Raw genomic sequence first — 19,760 nt, forward strand, 5'->3', positions numbered from 1 at the left:
ACCCAGAGCTATAGGGGGACCAGCCCAGGATGCCTTCCATGGGCTTGCTGCAAAGAGACACTTGGGTCTCTTCTTCCCACATTTCAGGACAGTGCTCCTCAGCCACCCCAGTTGCTGTGGCCCAAGTGACCGCAGGTGTGGCTCAATCTGCAGCTTCAGAAGATACAAGCTGTAAACATTAGTGGTATCCATATGCTGCTAATTCTAAAGGCATACAGAGTGCAAGAGCTGTGAGGGCATGACTTCCTCCTCCTAGATTTGAAAGGATGTCTCAGACAGCCTGGAGATCCAGGCAGAGACTTGCAGGGATGGAGCTACCACAAAGAGCCCCTACTAGGGCAATACCTAGTGAGCTGTTGAGTATGGCCATCTCAGAGACCCCGAAACTATAGAGTTACCAGTGTGCAACTCCAGCCTCAGAAAGCTGCAGGCATGAGACTCCAATTTGTGAGAGCTGGTGAGTAGACTGAGTACAGCAAACCCATAGAGGCCGGACTGCCTATGGCTTTGAGGGCCCAGTTCCCATCCCAGTGAGCCCAGTATTCAGGACATGGAGTCAAAAGAGAATGATTCTCTAGCTTTAAGACTTAATGGGCCTTGCACAGTGGCTCACATCTGTAATCCCAGCACTTTGGGAGGCCAAGGCGGGCGGACTGCTTGAGCTCAGGAGTTTGAGACCAGCCTGGGCAATATGGTGAAACCCCGTCTCTACAAAACATACAAAAATTAGCTGGGCATGGTGATGCACATCTGTGGTCTCAGCTACTCGGGAAGCTAAGGAAGGAGGATTGCTTGAGCCCTAGAGGCAAAGGTTGCAGTAAGCCAAGATCATGCTGTGGCACTCCAGCCTGGGTGACAAAATGGGAAACTCTGTCAAAAAAACAACAACAAAAAAAGACTTAATGTTTTTGGCCCTGTTGGGTTTTGGACTATGCTTGAGGCCTGTTACTCCTTTGTTTTTGCCTGTGTCTCCCTTTTAGAATGGGAATGTTTACTCTACACCTGTGTCACTATTGTATTTTGGGAGTAGACAGCTTGTTTTGATTCACAAGCTCACAGCTGGAAGGAATTTGCCTTAGGATGAATTGGGTTTTGAGTCTCAATCATAACTGATTTAGATGAGACTCTGGATCTTGGACTTTTGAGTTGATGCTAGAATGAATTAAGACTTTAGGAGCTACTGAGCTGGAATGAATGTATTTTGTACATCAGGAAGAAATAGCCATCAGTGGCTAGTGCCTACCATATTGGGCAGCAGCAGCTCTACATATTTTTTTCTTTGCTTTTTATTCACTTAACAGTATGTATTTTGGAGATCACTACATAATAGAGTGGGAGTTCTCATTGCTTGTTATATCTGCATTATACTCTAGGAGTAGATGTATCTTAGGTTACTCGATCAGTCCCTTATTGGTGGACATCTGTCACATTTTGAGTCTTCTGCTGTTACAATTTGTTCTGCCAAGAATGAACCTTGTGCTCCTGCCTTTTTGTCTTTTTGAATTGAATCTTGGGGTTACATTCTTGTAGGTTCAAAGAGAAAATACCTGTGCGCTGTGAAATAAATTTTAAACAGAGAGCATCTGGAAATGTAGCAGCAAGAAGTGAATGTTGGTCCTATCTCATCATTTCTTTTATTCCACATACTTTCTGCTCTCTTATTTTCTTTCTAGTGTGACATGCATAAAGGAATTTCTTATTGAGCCCCAGGAAGAAGAAACACTACATAAGAGCAAATAATAAAATCGGTCAGATAGACAGAAGATGGGAGTCATCAAACCTGTATCCCTCTTGCCAGACCTATCAACTGACCATACGTCATTCAGTGAGTCCTTTCCCTTTCTTGGTCTAAGTCCTAACACAGAAAGACACTCAATATAGAAACAGTGGATAGGGAACCCTTAAATCATCTGAAACTTCATGTTTACTGACTTTAAACTAGTTGCCCTCCAGAGCAAAGGACTATTATCTTGTGATGATGTGGTTTTCACATACATGGCACACTCCCACTGGCACACCTAGTGTTGTCCACAATTCTCAGCTGTATAGCTATGAATAACTCCACCCCTTTCTCTCCCACTCAGAAAATTATTTCATAATTCAAGAGAGTGAGAGAGTTTTTATAGGTACAACACTGATTCATCTATAACATAAACAATCCTCAAGCTTCAGTAAAGTATTACAAGTAACAAGTTACTTATAATACACACAATGATTGTGACACATTAGCTTGTCATGGCACCATGAATAAGAGGCTCTCATGTAGAATGGCAGCCATTGCAAGAATGTCTTGACAACAGCTCTCATTGGAAGCCAAAAATACTGTACATCCAACCGTCTTGAGCTATTGCTACTATTAGAAATAAAAATAATATATGGCATTAATTAAGTGATTACTCTGTGCCAGGCCCTGTGTTATGTTACATGTTTTATCTTAATTAATACTTTCTTTGTATGTGTCCACCATTTTAATCTTTTTTGTAGAAAGGAAACTGAGGCTTAGAGGGTGTAAGTAATTGCTTAAGATGTAGTAAGTGACAAAACCAAACACAAATACAAGGCTGTCTAATGTCAAAGGATGTTCTTTTAACCAATGCTTTCCTTTACTAGAGGAAATTTCTCCAAATATTTGAGAATTATTTACCTATAAAGTCTTCTATATGCAAAGTAACCTCCATTTCTCTCCAGACTCCAAACTGCCCTTCTAGTGGCACCACTATTTTGGAGTTATTGTGTATTTGTCCAGAAAAAAACCTTTTCATGTAAAACCTGTATGTGTATGTGTTTATGTACTTATAAAATATTAATAATAATATTTTTTAAAAGAAACGGTGGACTGGGGTGTGGGCTTTGGGATTACAAAAACTTGGATTTGACCCTGGGAACCATTAACTGCTGTTTGTGTAATTTAGAGCAAGTAACTTATCTACCATATGTCCTATAATTGTTGTCATCTTATATTGTCATTTATTATTATTACTATTTGTGCTATCCATCCAAAGGCTGGATGATAGGAGTGGAGATTATACTGTCTGGTATTACAATGTTCCTCAAACCTGTAATTTTATAACTGTTGGGTAGCATGCAAATTAAAGGAAGTCTATAGAAAGCTCTTGAGTACACCCAGGCATATAACATTATTTAATATGCTGCAGGTATGGCATTTCCATTCCAATGCATTGTTCAAGAATTGGGGCTGGGTCAACTGGAAAGAGTAAGATGTTCGATCTTATACCTTGTCATTTAATCAGAACACTTCATCACTGTGTTAGTATTTAAGATAAAAGCAAAAGATATAAAAAAAGACAATAAACTGCACATATGGTTATAGTAGTTACATGAATTGTATATATAATTTGCAGTACATGTGTATATATGCACGAAAAAATAACCACTGGAATGACATAACACAATCTTAATTTCAATCATGATAGAGTTACTGGGTATTGATATTTTTAACCTCTGTACTTGGCTCAATATTAAACATTTGCTGAGTATGGATTATATTTATGATTAAAAACTGTAATCCCTTAAACCTCCGCTACTTATGAAATATTTTAGAGGAAATGTATAGAGAGCTATAAAGATAATCCATGTTAGGAAAAAAGTTTACTCCTCCCTGATTGTGTCCCTTTCTTTCTTCCCTAGAGATAATCATATCCACAGTGAGATAATTATAATTCCCCTATACTACTTTTTTCTTTTACTCCATATGAGAACTCCCTAAACAAAATGTAGTATTGTTTTGCATTTTTTCACTCTCTGCACACACACACACACACACACACACACACACACACACACACCCCTAATCCTTACATTCAAGGAAGCATTATAAGGAGTTTGTTGGGAGACCTTCCTCAAGTCCAAGCATGGTATTTGGTGCATCATCCACAATGCCAGTATTTGCTTTTTTCCCATCCCAACACTTTGATCTTTAACAAGGATGTTATTGCTTAGCTCATTCATTTCTGCTTTTGCCCTTAACTATTTTTTTCCATCTGCATTATTTTATTTACTTTGTGGGTTTTTAAATCAGGATTTTAAAATTGAATATTTAATTTTCTTTTTTATTCATGTAGATATTTAATGCTTTATAATATCTTCTGACAGCTACTCTAGCTAGATTTTGATATGTTGCTTTCATCATTATCCTCATCAAATTCTGCAATTTTAATCTATTCTCATTGGGCCCAAGATTTTGTTAACAGCCTCAGATAGAATCCATTTTCATGAATGTTCCATGCTCATTTGAAAAGCATGTGTATTGCTTAATATCAGGCTTCATAGTTCACTGTGGCTATTTATAAGCTCTACTCTTGGGACTTGGTTGTTTAGGTCTTCTCTATAATTATTAATTTTTTTCTCCACTTGAACATTTTTGAATTCAGGGAAGTATTGTGTGCTTTGGTATATAAGTATTAGTATCTCACATTTTCCTTGTGAATTGTAGCCTTTAGCATTATCAACTGTGCCTTTTTACCTCTTTAAATCCATTTTGGTCTCAATTCTACTCTCTCAAATATCAAGATTATAACTCCTGCTTTCTTGATATGGTCAATTGCTTGGTATATATTTACTTATTTTTAAACTGTTAACCTACCTGAATTCATTTGTTTAAGGTATATCTCATGAAAAAGCATAATTTTGGATTTTGCTTCAATGGGAAATTTACAAATACTTTAATAGGTGAATTAAGTCCATTTACCTTTATTCTTGTTGTTCCTGGAACCAAGCCAGGTCCGGCTGCATTTTCTCGAGGCCCAATAACAAGAAGCAGACAAACTAGGAAAGAAGAGAATTTATTACTGTAACTGGATACAGGGAGGAGGCCAGAGATAATTCCACCAGACCAACTCAAGGTGTTAAATTTTCTTAAGGCTTATATAGGTTGGGGTTATGTCCCTACGTGCAGTACGGCATTCGCCTAAGTCTATTGGTAACTAATTTTGTTTCAACTAGAAGGTCAGAGGCAAAAAAATCCTTGCTAAGTCTGATTAAAAGGGCCCCAGTACCTTCAAGGACTGTCTACTGTCGTACCAGAGTGATTGTTTCTATCTTGTCTCCTTTACAGCTTGGTCCAGAGAGCTGCCTTAGACTCTCTAATGAATCTGTTCAAACAGCTGCCTCTGTTACCTTGACTTCTCTCAGATTTTGTCGACCCGAGATGGGTCCTATTGTAAAACTGTGTCTATTATTTTGGCTTGCTCCAGCAAGGGAGAAGCCCACACAAGGCTCCTACTGACCATATGTGTCATTTCTAGCTTTGATGTCTGGGCAACAATTTCCCTAGGTTTAACTATTTGCTCAATGTTAAGGCAGCGCTGTGGAAATTTGTCTGTGTAACTGGGGTGCTATGCAGGCCTGTCTGTGTGACTGTCATGCAGGCCTGCCTATGTGATTGTCAGGGAGAATTGACTTGCCACAATATGATCAAAGTCTTTGGTCATTTAAGTTCAGTTCTGTAGTATTGTCTATAAATATAAGGAAATTATATAGCCTTTCACTAGGTCATGTGTTTGATTTCCTCTTCCTATTTATTTAGTAGTTAGCATGGTTATTGTTTTGTTTCAGTGGTTACTTTTATATTAAATCCTTAACACTACATCCTTGATATGGAATGAAGTCTTACTAATGAATAGAGAAAATAATATTAACAGATAATTCACATTAAAAAACAATTGTATACCCATTAAATTTTCAAAACTATGCCAGATTACAATAACTAAAGGACTGAAAACTAATATCCTAGGCTACCATGCTGAGTGAGAAAGAAAAATTGCTGAAACATACATATAATCTGATAACTTTGGGAAATAATATATATAAATGAGTATTTTGTGTAATACCCCATTCCTGCCTCTTGATAGCTGAATATGACCCTCTAGCAGTGAGTTACCCTTATTGAACCTGACCTTGCTAACCTATAAAATGGGCATAATGACATTTACTTCAGAGAGCCAAGAGGAGGAATGAGCAAACGTAAATAAAGCACATGGTACCTAATACTTCAACAAATATATGTATAATCTCCCTTATGTTCTCCCTCCCACAAGAGATGACTTAAACATCAACATCTCAAAGAGATCAATGGATTTGAACCATCAGAAAAAGAAATGCATACATATTTATATGACGTATAAGCTTTGGTGCTATTTCTTTCTAAGATGAGATACTGAGGATGGTGGAAATAAGGAAGCAAATTATAGCCTCATTACTTTTTATTTGTTGTGTTCTTCTCTTCTTTTTAAACTTCTATTTGGATGCTGAAATAGCAGCTTCCCACTGTGGGCCAGAAAGGAGACAGCACAGAATAACAGAACATGAAGATGGGTCTGCTGTGCAATGGACTGAAATCAGGAGACCTTGGCCCCCAATACCAGATCTGTCCTCGTGTACAGGACCATGGGGAGTCACTTCCCCTGTGTTGGTCTCTGTCCTTACACAGAAAAAGATTGTATACCTAATGGTTAAGGACGTGGGCATTGGCATCAGTAAAGTGAGGAGAAAATTGGGGCACATTTAATTACTGGTTTTATGATGTTTAGGAAATGTTGAGTCTCCAGATAAATGAAACTCATACATTAAATATGACTGCGTAGAGAATAAAACGGGAGGAACTGCACAAAAAAGGATACATTCTTCAAAATTAATGAGCGGTGGGTCGGTACTTAATTCTTTATCTCTTGACTTAACTATGTTTTCCACAATTTCTAAATTAGTATGGTTCTTTTTAAAAGTCAGAAGTAAGCTTCATTGAAACAGTTGTTATGAAATATTTCAGAAATACAAAAATTATAGAATGTAAGAGACATCCCTGTTCTCATGTTGACATACCTAATATTATATATGCAGTTGAAACTCACTTTGAAGACTTCTCTGATTGCAAGCCTCCTTCTTTCTCAGAGGTAACCACTATGCAGAATTCGGGTTTTAGATTTTAAAGACATTTCCCTATACTTTTATTACATATGCATATATCTGTAAGTGAGAATGGTATTGTTTTGTAGCATGTTTTTTCTATAGATGCCTGGCTACCTCATGGAAAAAAAGGAAAAAAAATGAAGAAACATGAGGAGAACAAACACACAATCACATTTCAACAGTGGGAGCTGCATGGCCTCCTTGTCATGTGTACTCTTGCAGACTTACTAAAACAGACATATCCATTTTCTCAGTTTATACGCTATAGGGAGCACAAACAACCTGTAGATACTGTTTTCAAATGCTTTTTCCCAGCGTGTTCAAAGTCTTAGAGTTTCTCTGGAGCTAACTGGCCTAAAACAATGTCTCAGTGTTTCCTGATATGAAACAACTTCCCATTTGTCTGGGCCAAATTATCTGTCTTTCATGCTCACTGTAACCCTTCAAGGCCTAATCCAGAACCTAATCTGGGCTATGCTGGTAAAAGATATGCCAGTCTACCACCCAAATCCCTTATTGGCTTAGGGGTGAATCTTATTTAGAACTTGATCTGATTTTGTGTTAGAATTGTTGGGTTTGTGTATATTTTCCTTCCTTTTCTTCTAATATTTTTAATTGCACAGGGAAGGTATTTCGCAAGTGTTTTAATTCACATGTGCTGATTGTTCCTGCAGTTCTTTGCTGAGTGAGACTGTGACTCAACTTTTACCCCAAACCCAGCTGTGTTAGGATCCTTCCTCTCTGGAAGCTGTGGTGCTGACCCCTGGGTGGTTTCATGCAGTCCCTCCCTCTTTCCCACCCCTGTGGCAGTCACTGCTTGGCTAACTAGGTGGGTAAACAGAGGAGCCTACTCTCCATTCAAGGGGCTTTCTTTGGGAGAGTGCAGAGAGAAGCATGCTGTGAAACTACTTTCATCTTGTGACCATCACTGAAATCCTGGAGAGTGGATTTCTGTGGATACTGACTGCTAAATGTAAGCTTCATTTGAGAGACATGTTGGCCCTTCTCCTAGGTGTCTGTAATTTCCCTGAAGCTGCCCAATTGGGGTTACCATGTGGATAGATTCATACATTAGTTCTGGGACCACCCTACTACTTAATTCCCTTGGCTTAGAGGTGTTCCCCATTCCAAAGCTGAACCGTCTTATGGGGTAGGGCTGGTGATATTTATTTTTTCCGATTATTATTTTCACCTCCAAAACCAAGACACTTTTGTTGTAGATAAAAATGGAAAAGTGAGGAAAGCAAAAAAAAAAAAAAATTAAAAACTAGTAAAAGTCTACTACTTATGGAGAAGCACTGTTAACAGTTGAATATATATACAGTCACGTGTCACTTAATGATGGGGATACATTTTGAGAAATGTGTTGTTAAATTGTTTCAGTGTGGTAATATCATGGAGTGCAGTTATACAAACCTAGCCTTCTACATACTTAGGCTAGATGGTACAGCCTGTTGCTCCCAGGCTACAAACCTGTACAGCATGTTACTATACTGAATACTGTAGACAATTATAACAAAATGGTCAGTATTTGTGTATCTAAACATATCTAAGCAATAATAAACAGTAAAATTATGGTATAAAATATACAAAATGGGGCCAGGTGCAGTGGCTCACACCTGTAATCCCAGCACTTTGGGAGGCCGAGGCAGGTGGATCACATGAGGCCAGGAGTTCGAGACCAGCCTGGCCAACACGGTGAAATGCTGACTCCACTAAAAATACAAAAACTAGCTGGGCATGGTGGCGGGTGCCTGTAATCCTGGCTACTTAGGAGGCTGAGGCATGAGAATCACTTGAGCCAGGGAGATGGAGGTTACAGTGAGCCCAGATCGTGCTACTGTACTCCAGCCTGGGCGAAAGAGTGAGACCCTGTCTCAAAAAAAAAAAAGAAAAGAAAAAGAAAAGAAAGAAAAGATACAAAATGGCACACCTATATAGGGCACTTACCATGAATGGAGCTTGCAGGACTGGAAGTTGCTCTGGGTGAGTGAGTAGTGAATGAAAGTGAAAGTCTAGGACATTACCGTACACTCCTATAGACTATAAACACTGTACAGTTAGGCTATACTAAATTTAATAATAAATTCAATACTAAGTTTACTGTAACCTTTTTACTTTATAATTTTTTAATTTTTTTAACTTTTTGACTCTTTGGTAATAACACTTTGCTTAAAACACAAACACATTGTAGAGCTATAAAAAATATTTTCTCTCCTTTTTTTTTTTTTGAGACAGTGTCTTGCTCTGTCGCCCAGACCGGAGTGCAGTGGCCTGATCTTGGCTCACAACAGCCTCCACCTGCCAGGCTCAAGTGATCCTCCTGCTTCAGCCTCCTGAGTATCTGGAACTACAGGCATGCACCACCACACTCTGCTAGTTTGTTTATTTATCTATTTATGTAGAGACTAGGTCTCATTATATTGCCCAAGCTGGTCTCAAATTCCTAGGCTCAATGGATCCTCCCACCTCGGCCTCCCAAAATTCTGGGATTACAGGCATGAGCCACCGTGCCTGGCCATTTTCTTTCTTTATATCTTTATTCTATATGCTTTTTGCTATTAATTTTTTTAAAAACATTTTTTGTTAGAAACTAAGACACAAACACACATATGAGCCTAGGCCTACATGGGGTCAGGTACACGGGGTCAGGATCATCAATATCACTATCTTCCACCTCCACATCTTGTCTCACCAGAAGGTCTTTGGGGGCAAAGTAACAGGCATGGGGCTGTCATCTCCTATTGATAGCAATGCCTTCTTGAATACCTCCTGAAGGACCTGCCTGAGACTGTTTTACAGTTAACCTTTTTTAATATGTAGAAGAGTATGTTCTAAAGTAATGATAAAATGTATAGTACAATAAACACATAAACCAGCAACATAGTCATTTATTATCATTATCAAGTATTATGTATTGTACACAATTGTATGTGCTATACTTTTATACAACTGGCAGCATAGTAGGTTTGTTTACATGGGCATCACCAGAAACATGAGGAATGCATTGAGCTACGAATGTTACAACAAGAATTTACATGCAACAAGAAGTTTTCAGCTCCATTATAATCTTGGACTGCTATTGAATATGTGGTCCTTCATCAAGTGAAATGTTGTTATGTAGTGTGTGACTATATATTTTTTTCATAAATTCTATTATGCAAATATAACCATGCATATTTAGGAATGCCGTGAGATGATATCCTACTTAGAGCTGTGCAAATTGCTTTTTTTTTAACAGACATCGTAATATGAATGGCAATCTATGCCAATCAATAAAAATTCACATAATAATAAAAATGGCAATACGTTAACACTGATTTTTTAAAAGGTTAATATTTATTATTGACATCCTCAGTTCCTGACACTGTTGTTAAGAGCTAAACCTATACTTATTTAATCCTCAGCATCATCTGTAAGGAGGAGCTATTGTTGCCTGCGTTTAAACATAAGGGAACTGAGGCACAGTGAAGGCAGGGCTAGCAAGTGTCGAGACTTAGATTTGAACATTGGCTGTGTGGCTCTCAAGCCCCTACATCTAACCAGTATGAGCAGCTGCTTTTCATCCGATAAGATCAGGGCACAGCAGCACAACAAAACAAATTAAGGTTTCCTGTTTTTTCTCGGTTAAGCAGGCAGACCCTTAAATTTTTTTTTTTTTTTTTTTTTTTTTTTTTTTTTTGGTAGATGGAGTTTTACACTTGTTGCCCAGGCTGGATTGCAATGGTGCAATCTTGGCTCACTGCAACCTCTGCCTCCTGGGTCCAAGCAATTCTCCTGCCTCAGCCTCCCAAGTAGCTGGGATTACAAGCATGCATCACCACGCCCAGCTAATTTTGTATTTTTAGTAGAGACGGGGTTTCACCATGTTGGTCAGGCTGGTCTCGAACTCCTGACCTTAGGTGATCCACCCGCCTCTGCCTCCCAAAGTGCTGGGATTACAGGCATGAGCCACCGCGCCCAGCCGACAATTAAATATTGGTAATATTCTGTGTGGTTTTGAATTTGGGAGAAATATGTTCAGTAATACTGTGGAAATGTCTTATCTCCCTTCCTGCCTTAGGGATGTTCCTGTTCTGAAGTAAATAGCTTTCTTGTGGTTGGGAACACAGAATGGTTATGTTTTTCAGACATTTTAATATTTGTGTAATTGAAAGAGGAATAGTGCTTATTATAGGTAAAAATAGAAGATACAGAGCAGAAAAAATAGCCGGGCATGGTGGCTCACGCCTGTAATCCCAGCACTTTAGGGGACCAACGAGGGCAGATCACATAAGGTCAGGAGTTCGAGACCCGCCTGACCACCTTAGTAAAACCCGTCTCTACTAGAAATACAAAAAAATTAGCCAGGTATGGTGGCAGGCACCTGTAATCCCAGCTACTAAGGAGGCTGAGGCAGGAGAATCACTTGAACCTGGGAGGGGGAGGTTGCAGGGAGCCAAGATCGTGCCATTGCACTCCAGCCTGGGTGACAAGAGTGAAACTCCATCCCAAAAAAAATAAAAGAAAAGAAAAAATAATACCCCAAATCCTACCACCCAAAGATAAGCCCTTGTAATGATTTCACCTACATTATATTCTTCTAGAAGTTTTCTTTTGCAGGTACATGTATAGGTACATATGTAAGTATGCGTGCATTTATATATTTACATACAAAAGATACTTCATCTTACATTTAGTTTTGTAACTTGCTTGCCTCACTGTAATGGGTTGAATTGTGTCTCCTCAAAAATATGCACTAATTCTAACACCCACTATACCTTATTTGGAAATAGGATCTTTGCAAATCTAATTAAGCTAAAGATCTAAAGATGTGATCATCCAATTGCCAGTATCATTATAAAAGAAAGAGGGATATTTGACACAGATAGGGAGAAAGGCCATGTGAAGATGGAGGAAGAGATTGGAACTATAAAGTAGGAACCACCAAAAGATATAAGAGGAAAGGAAGGATTCTCCCCTGAGTCTTCAGAAAGAGTTGGCCCTGTCTAGACCTTGGTTTTGTACTTTTGGCCTTGGTTTTGTACTTTTGAACTCTGAAATAATAAATTTATGTAATTTGTTATGGCAGCCCTAGAAAATTTATACACTCACTAACAACATACCACAAACGGTATTCCTTGTGAATAAACTTTAGTCTATATCCTATTTTTATGACTATAGTGATACTAATGCCAATAAAATATATAAAGAGAAATGAGTAAAATTTCTTATGTACCATATGCATTTATGTATTGAGTCATTAAATTTTCACAGCACCCTTACAAGGTAGAAATTGTGGCTAATCTCTGTTTTATAGATGAAAAACTGATGACAGAGAGAATATGGACTCTGCCTGAGACTGTACAGTTAGGGATTGAGACAGCTTATATTTGTGTCCAGTACATCATGCTCCAGAGCCTGGGAAACTGTGAAGGCTCTGTTGATAGGTGGAAGAAGCAGTCTGCACAAGCATGCGTGTTTTAGGAGATTACTTTTAAAAAGTAATACTCATTATGATAATATATTTACACACACACACACACACAGACTGAACCTGGTGACCAAAAGGTGGATTTTAACCTTGGTGAGATCATGTTTGTTGCCATCCTGGAAACAGACATCATAGTGCAATGGGATAAGGACCATGGGAAGTGAAGAATGTTAACAGAGTGCAGAAAATCCTTTTGGTACTTTGAATTTGAAAGGGAAGAGAGAGACCTAGAGATACAGACAGACATATTTATAGAGAGAAGCATTCTGTGGCTGAATAGGAATGAAGGGTTCAATGAGAGACTTTTTAAAATCTTCAATTCCATGAAACTTGAGCAAGTTTTCAAATTAATGTGAAGAAGCTGTCTTATCTCAGGTTTATCCCTCGAAGCTTTCCATATATTGATTTCCCTTCTCACATTCTTATTTCCACTTTGGAGAACATGAGACCCTTCCAATGGACTAATAGGGGTTTTGAGCTCAATATATATTTACTTGTTAGTAAATGAAAGAATGGACATTGTATGAAAGAAATGCTAGTAACTCTTGGATTTTTGTCCTTCAGGGAGGCAGCAGGTGGCTGAAATCCTGGTGTGATGTGGCTGGATCATGCATGATCTGAGGACTCCTGCACAGGTGACTGCAGGATGAGTACAGAATTTTTCTATAAATATACTAAAATACCAAGTAAGCCAGGAGCAGCCACTAGGCAAACACCAAACCTTGCATTCCTGGCCAAACCTATCACAGAGCTCATCAGGTAAGTTCAAAGACACACCTGTCTTCCCAGCATTGGGAACTGGATTGGGGTCTACTCAGAGGCATGATGTTGACCAGATTTTATGAAACACCCAAGAATGTAGAGAACATTCTGTCTTTAAAACCTTGAATTCAAAACATATCAGAGAGAGATTTACTTCCCTTATATGGATGTCTGTGTTCTCATTAGGAGAGAAACAATGAAAAATGACTTTTCACAATGCCTGCCTTAGCCGTGAGGCTCAGCCAACCCCCACTTCTATGTCTCAGCATTTAAAGGGCAATTGAAGTCCCACTCCATGCTATATACTCTCAAGAGGTTTTCTCATTTACCCTTCAGAACAGCTCTGTAAAGATGGTATGGTCAGTCCCATTTCACAGATGACTAAGCTCAGGCTCACAGAGCCTAAGTCACCCCTCCAGGTAAGTGGCAGGGTTGGAATGAGGTTCTATTCCTCACCCTCCCTAGAGAACCCTGAGCAGCTTCCGTTTTAGAAGATGGGTTTCCAGGGCTTGAGAAATGGTCAGATTCCCCCCTGATATTGTGGCCCCACAGGTCCTCACTCCACAACCCCTCTGGGTGATGAGGAAGACAGAAGAGGTGAAATCCTGCGCTTTGTGCCATGAGATCTGGGTGTAGGGCCACAGGAGTTAGCTAATCCTTGAAGTGGTGAGTGGGCTCAGGCAGAAGCTCAAGTGTTGGCCTTGGGACAGGTGAGCTGGAGAGAAGGAAAGTAACATGCACTGAACCACTGTAAGCAAATGCAATTTACAGCTCATCTCCTTTAATCCTAACAACCATTTAAGATACTCATCATTCTGACCATTATTCAGATCAGTGTGCTGTCTTTAGGGGAGTTTATGTAAGTCAGGGAAACAACCTAGTTGTCCTGTGATCATCAGCTAACTCTGGAATACTCCAAAGTTGTATCATTTTCTCTTGATGTCTCCAGGGCTCTGAATGTTCTAATCTCCCTGCAGGCTGATAGCGCCTGCTCCTCATGGTGTTATTCAACATTTTTTCTTTTTAAATTATGACCTGTATATTTTTGTCACATTATTGACATTTAAAACACTTTCTCAGTAAAAATAAGGCTAAACATTTTTTAACTTAAGGGAGAAAACATTTGCAAACTACATCTCAGATACTGGGTTAGTATCCATGATTTGTGAACCACATTCTGTAACAAAATGACTGGCAGCTGTTTTCAACAGACATTCTCATTAAAATGTACATGAACAATAAACATGTTAAAATATGTCAAAACTGGAAGTACTAATAAGATGCAAATATAAATCTTCAAGAGAATATTATGTGGAAGAAAAAAGTTGCAAAAAAAATTAGTACTGTGATTCACTTTTGGAACAGATTGTGTGTTTGCGTGCACCTCACCTACAGGGACACATCTGGAGAGTATGCACCATTCTGTTGACAACAGACCCTTTTGGGTCAGAGGGTAGGCTTCAGGCCAGTGAGATATGCAGATTCATTTCAATTTATAAATATACTTTTATACATTGTTTGAAATTTTGTATTTAGGGAAAAAAGCATTTCAATAAATACTTTTGAATAGATTGGCAACAGTAATTGTAATGTATTTCATTAATTCGAAAGTACATTCATTGTATTCAATTTTGTATTGAGACAAAGTAGATAAAAATGGAATTGATAATGTCTATGTGTGTGAGTGTGTGTGTGTGTGTGTGTGTGTATCTTCTCTTGCTCTATCACCCAAATAAACATACGTGCAGCTTTACCTTTAATTCAGACAGGGGATGGAACCAATATCAGTTTTAGATATCCCAGAAAATAGTGGATACAGAGAGACAGCTACCATGAGCTGAATAATTCCGGAAGACTCCAGCTGATACCTTCTGGGAGCCAAATTCCCAAACTCCATCCCTCTTTCCCTCTTACCGAGGCCCTTGGCTGACAGAGATGCAATCCTGTCTCTGGGCACCAGATGGCATCGATCTCTTTATTTTTTTTTTTTTAATAAAAAGGAGTATATTTTGTAGAGTAACGAAGGACTTAAAATGGTTTGTTTACCATGATCATAATTCTGTGTGCAAAATTCATATATTTTATTTATTTATATAAATATATTTATGAATTTATACAAACTATATGAATTTTATTTATTTATATACTATATATTATATATCATATATACAATATATTATATTGTATATATAATATATCATATATTGTGTATATATCATATATTGTGTATATAGTATATATTATATATAATATATTATATATTGTATATATAATATATTGTGTGTATGTAATGTGTATTATATATTATATTATATATATTATATATGTTATATATTGTATATATTATATATCATATGTAATATATTACATATATATCGTGTATATATTATATATTGCATATATAATATATGTTATATATAATATGTTATATATAATGTATGTATGTGATATATTACATATTGTATGTATGTGATATATATTGTATGTATGTGGTGTATTATATATTGTATGTAATATATTATATTGTATGTATGTGATATATTATATATTGTGTATATATGATATATATTATATATTGTATATATATATATAATATATATTTTAAAGCAGTTGCATTATGGTGCTCCAAGAATCTCATCGCATTCACTGATTTATCTTTTCCTTCCTCAGGGTAGGTTGAGGTGTCCACACTGTAGAGGGGTCCCTCCCTCCCAGAGAGCAGGCAGTTTGCCCTCCGTTACCCCACTCCTGTACAGGCTTCCCAGACCTTCTCCACCCACTTTCAGTCATCCCCTCTCTGGGACACTGTGGACACAGCCACCCAGACTCAGTTCCACCTCCCTCATCATTTCTTAGTCACCTTACGCCTGCCCCTGTGCTGTCCTATGCCAGCCGGTGGCTCCCAATGTGTGCTAGAGCTACCTGGTGTTTCATAGTATGGATGCCCCCAGAGTATATTTATTTAGTGTTCTTTTGCATCTGTCAGTTTTTTCAGACAGAAAATTTTGAAAATAGGTTCACAAGCTGTGTTTTAAGGGAGGTATGGTATTTCTTTTTTTTTTTTTTAATTTTTTTTTTATTAAAGTTTTAGGGTACATGTGCACAATGTGCAGGTTAGTTACATATGTATACATGTGCCATGCTGGTGCGCTGCACCCACTAACTCGTCATCTAGCATTAGGTATATCTCCCAATGCTATCCCTCCCCCCTCCCCCCACCCCACAACAGTCCCCAGAGTGTGATATTCCCCTTCCTGTGTCCATGTGATCTCACTGTTCAATTCCCACCTTTTTGCTCATTGTATATATTGCTTTGCAGTCTGATAATGGTGATATGTTAGTGCCCCCTCGTGACAGAAGCCTAAACTGCAGCTTGAACATCCGGGAGCAGGAAAGTGGGAGGAAGGGGTTGTGGCCCAAGCCCACCCCACAGAGCTTTCTATAAGTCTGGGTGGAACAGAAGTATATCCAGTGTTCAGGGATACTGATGGCCAAACAGAAAGTCCAGCCTCTTACTATGCTAAATAGAAAGCTATATTTGAGAGGAATAAAAAAAATCATTTTTATTTTTATGCTTTCAGACCTATGGATATATAGCAATAGACCTATACAAGCAAAAATAGATACAGAACTACTTCTGACTTTTGTGGGGTTTTTCTCGTCACCCAGGCTGGAGTGCAGTGGTGCAATCACAGCTCACTGCAACCTCTGCCTCCCAGGCTTGAGCGATCCTCCAGCCACAGCCTCCCAAGTAGCTGGGACTACAGGTGTGAGCCACCACCCCTAACGAATTTTTTTTTTTTTTTTTTGAGACGGAGTCTCACTGTCTCCCAGGCTGGAGTGCAGTGGCGCCATCTCGGTTCACTGCAAGCTCGGTCCCCCGGGTTCACGCCATTCTCCTGCCTCAGCCTCCGGAGTAGCTGGGACTACAGGCGCCTACCACCACGCCCGGCTAATTTTTTGTGTGTGTATTTTTAGTAGAGACAGGGTTTCACCGTGTTCGCCAGGATGGTCTCAATCTCCTGACCTCGTGATCTGCCCGCCTCGGCCTCCCAAAGTGCTGGAATTACAGGCGTGAGCCACCGCGCCCGGCCACCCCTGACTAATTTTTATATTTTTTGTAGAGACAGGATTTCACCATGTTACCCAAACTGGTCTCGAAATCCTGAGCTCAAGGGATCCGCTCACCTCCGTCTTCCAAAGTGCTGGGATTACAGATGTCAGCCACTGCACCCGGCCATACTACTTAGGACTTTTGTAACCTGTGTTTGCCTTTACTATGACCATCTTTCAAATTCAATTTCAATTTTTTGTATAGAGTTGGTGTTTCATCATATGATGCCCTAAACTTTATTTTCCCAGTACTCTAGTGGTGAAAATTTAATTCCTTTTAATATAGTTTCTATTACAGACAATAGTATACTTAACACCAGCTTTTATATATGCAGATATCTTTTAAAGCATTTCTTTATAAGCTCCTGAAGAGTCCTTTCAAAACCCTGGAAATTAGAACATTTTATATTAACATAATGGTTCAAAATACTACTACTAATTTACATTCCTAATGTAACCACAGAACCGTTCAATATGCTTTGACTTTGTAACAAAGTGATGAGTTGTTTTTTAGATGCAGTGGATCCCCAGGTTGCAAGTCATATAACCTGAGCATGCCCAGATGAACCAAGTATGCCTGATTGGTGAACCTGGAACTGGCCAGAACAGAAAATGTCAACCACATGTGGAATCTAAGTATTCAGATTGAGAAATGAGGACCAAAATGAGAAGTGAGTGGTTCCCTGTTTTTTTCCCAGTACAAACTTAAAAGCCAAGGACTTGGCACCACTTCTTTGCATGATCCAATCAGATCATGCCTGGTTGCATTTCCCTATGTCCCCCATAGTTACTCTCTGCCTTCAGACCCCAGCTCGAGGAAACAGATTTGAGTGTTGCTGGTCCTGTCTCCTTGCTGGTCGACCTTGCAATAAAGCTTTTTCTTTCCTCAAAAGCTAGTGCCATAGTATTGGCTTCTATGTGCATTGGTGACCAAGCCCATTGCTCAGTAACACTAACATCACAGTATGAAAGTGCCTGTTTCTACACACATTGAAATAATGGGCATGGTAGCTAATCTGATAGGCAAAAAATTCTCTCTCATCATTGTCTTCATTGTAACTCATTTTATTGCTTACCTACAATTTCATGCTGTGGATGTAACATAATTTTCAGAACTCCATGTTATTCAGAGTGTTCTGATACTCCCTAATGTCAACACTGTGTCGATGGCATCTTTTCAAAGTATGTGCTCCGCTGAAGGGCACAGTTCCGGGCACAGTTCCTGTGGCTGTTTGGACTGGTGAGCCAAATGTGTCCTCTTGGAACTCACCAAACTGTCATAGAAGAATACTAGTATTGTGATAAAAAGAGCCTGGTCCATGTATAAATGTGTGTGTGTGTGTGTGTGTGATTGTGTATGTGCTGGCGTGATTGTGTGTGTGATGACAACCACATTTTCCTCTGCTTCCTTCTTTTCCTTCATGGCTTTGCATCTCATTTGGTCTCCCTTCCTAAATTCAGGCTGAGAACAAAAGTTCTCTGAAAAGGAATTTAGAGGAAAGAGACTTTATTCCAGTGAATAGTTTGCAAATCGGGGAGATGTAGCCTTCAGTATAAAATGAAGGTGTGTTCCAGAGGACAAAGGGAAGGTTTGTCTTTTATGAAGAAAATTCTCACCCAGGTTCCCACTCAGGTCAACTTATGCAAATGAAGGATTCCAACTTGCTTAGTTCTGATTGGTTGACATAGGTGAAAGCTTATTGGTTGGTTCAAGCACCATAAAAAGGAACAGGCAGCTATGAAAGTCCCAAAGTTAAGCAGACTTTCAGGTTTTCTGGGAACTCGAAGTCATGTGTGACCTCTACTCAGCAAATGGCCACTTGGCTCTAATTTGAATTTAGGCCCAGTTAAACACCCAGGATTTATCTTGAAGGACTGGTTCTTTCAGGCTTCACAAGGCCCAGAAGTAAAGGAAGGGAATTATCAGAATAGCAGTTCTTTTTACCATATCCTTATCCACATCCTTCCTTACATTCTGAAGATAAACTTGTTCAAGGGAAATTGTTTGTGCAAACAGTGTGTCCATATGTAGGTTTTTGATAAATATTGCCACACTGACACTCATCAAGGTAGTGCTATTTAGACTCCCTAAGTGAAGTCATGCAAGAAAACACACAGGGGAGTGAAGAAAGTAATAGTAATGACATCCTGTTAGACAGTAAATGCCCTATACTTTGTTGTAGACCTACTCTCAAGCCATTGCCACAGTTGGAACATGTGGAAGTGATCAGATGAAAATCAAACTTTACACCCGAGTAAAACCCGAAGTAACATGTGGGATAGTGTTAGGAGGGGAAAATCCTTGGAGGAACATATGACAAAGAGTCAGCAGGGCTGGGATACAGCTACCGTTTTACATGCATTCACATTTATATAAAAGATGTACATCACAGCCTTTGTATGAAAAAGTTTGGTCACTACTGTGGTACAACAGAAGACCAGGGCAATATCATATTTTTAAACGGCTTTCTTGTAGTATAATTTATGG

At 38.9% G+C, this 19,760-nt stretch overlaps 1 long non-coding RNA gene across 7 annotated transcripts in view; it reads left to right on the plus strand.

Moving 5' to 3' along the window:
- LL0XNC01-250H12.3 (uncharacterized) overlaps positions 1 to 19,760 on the plus strand; it is a 113,164-nt gene that overhangs the window by 68,648 nt on the left and 24,756 nt on the right. For 2 of the 7 annotated variants that reach the window (NR_188433.1, NR_188435.1), the window contains exons 5-7: positions 1,674 to 1,825; positions 12,962 to 13,156; positions 17,787 to 17,943. This is a non-coding gene — a long non-coding RNA (uncharacterized LL0XNC01-250H12.3). The remainder of the gene's footprint in view (positions 1 to 1,673; positions 1,826 to 12,961; positions 13,157 to 17,786; positions 17,944 to 19,760) is intronic. The other 5 variants (NR_188436.1, NR_188438.1, NR_188437.1 and 2 more) reach the window with 4 other exon arrangements.

The sequence above is a fragment of the Homo sapiens genome, chromosome X, assembly GCF_000001405.40.
Source record: "Homo sapiens chromosome X, GRCh38.p14 Primary Assembly".
NCBI lineage: Eukaryota > Metazoa > Chordata > Mammalia > Primates > Hominidae > Homo > Homo sapiens.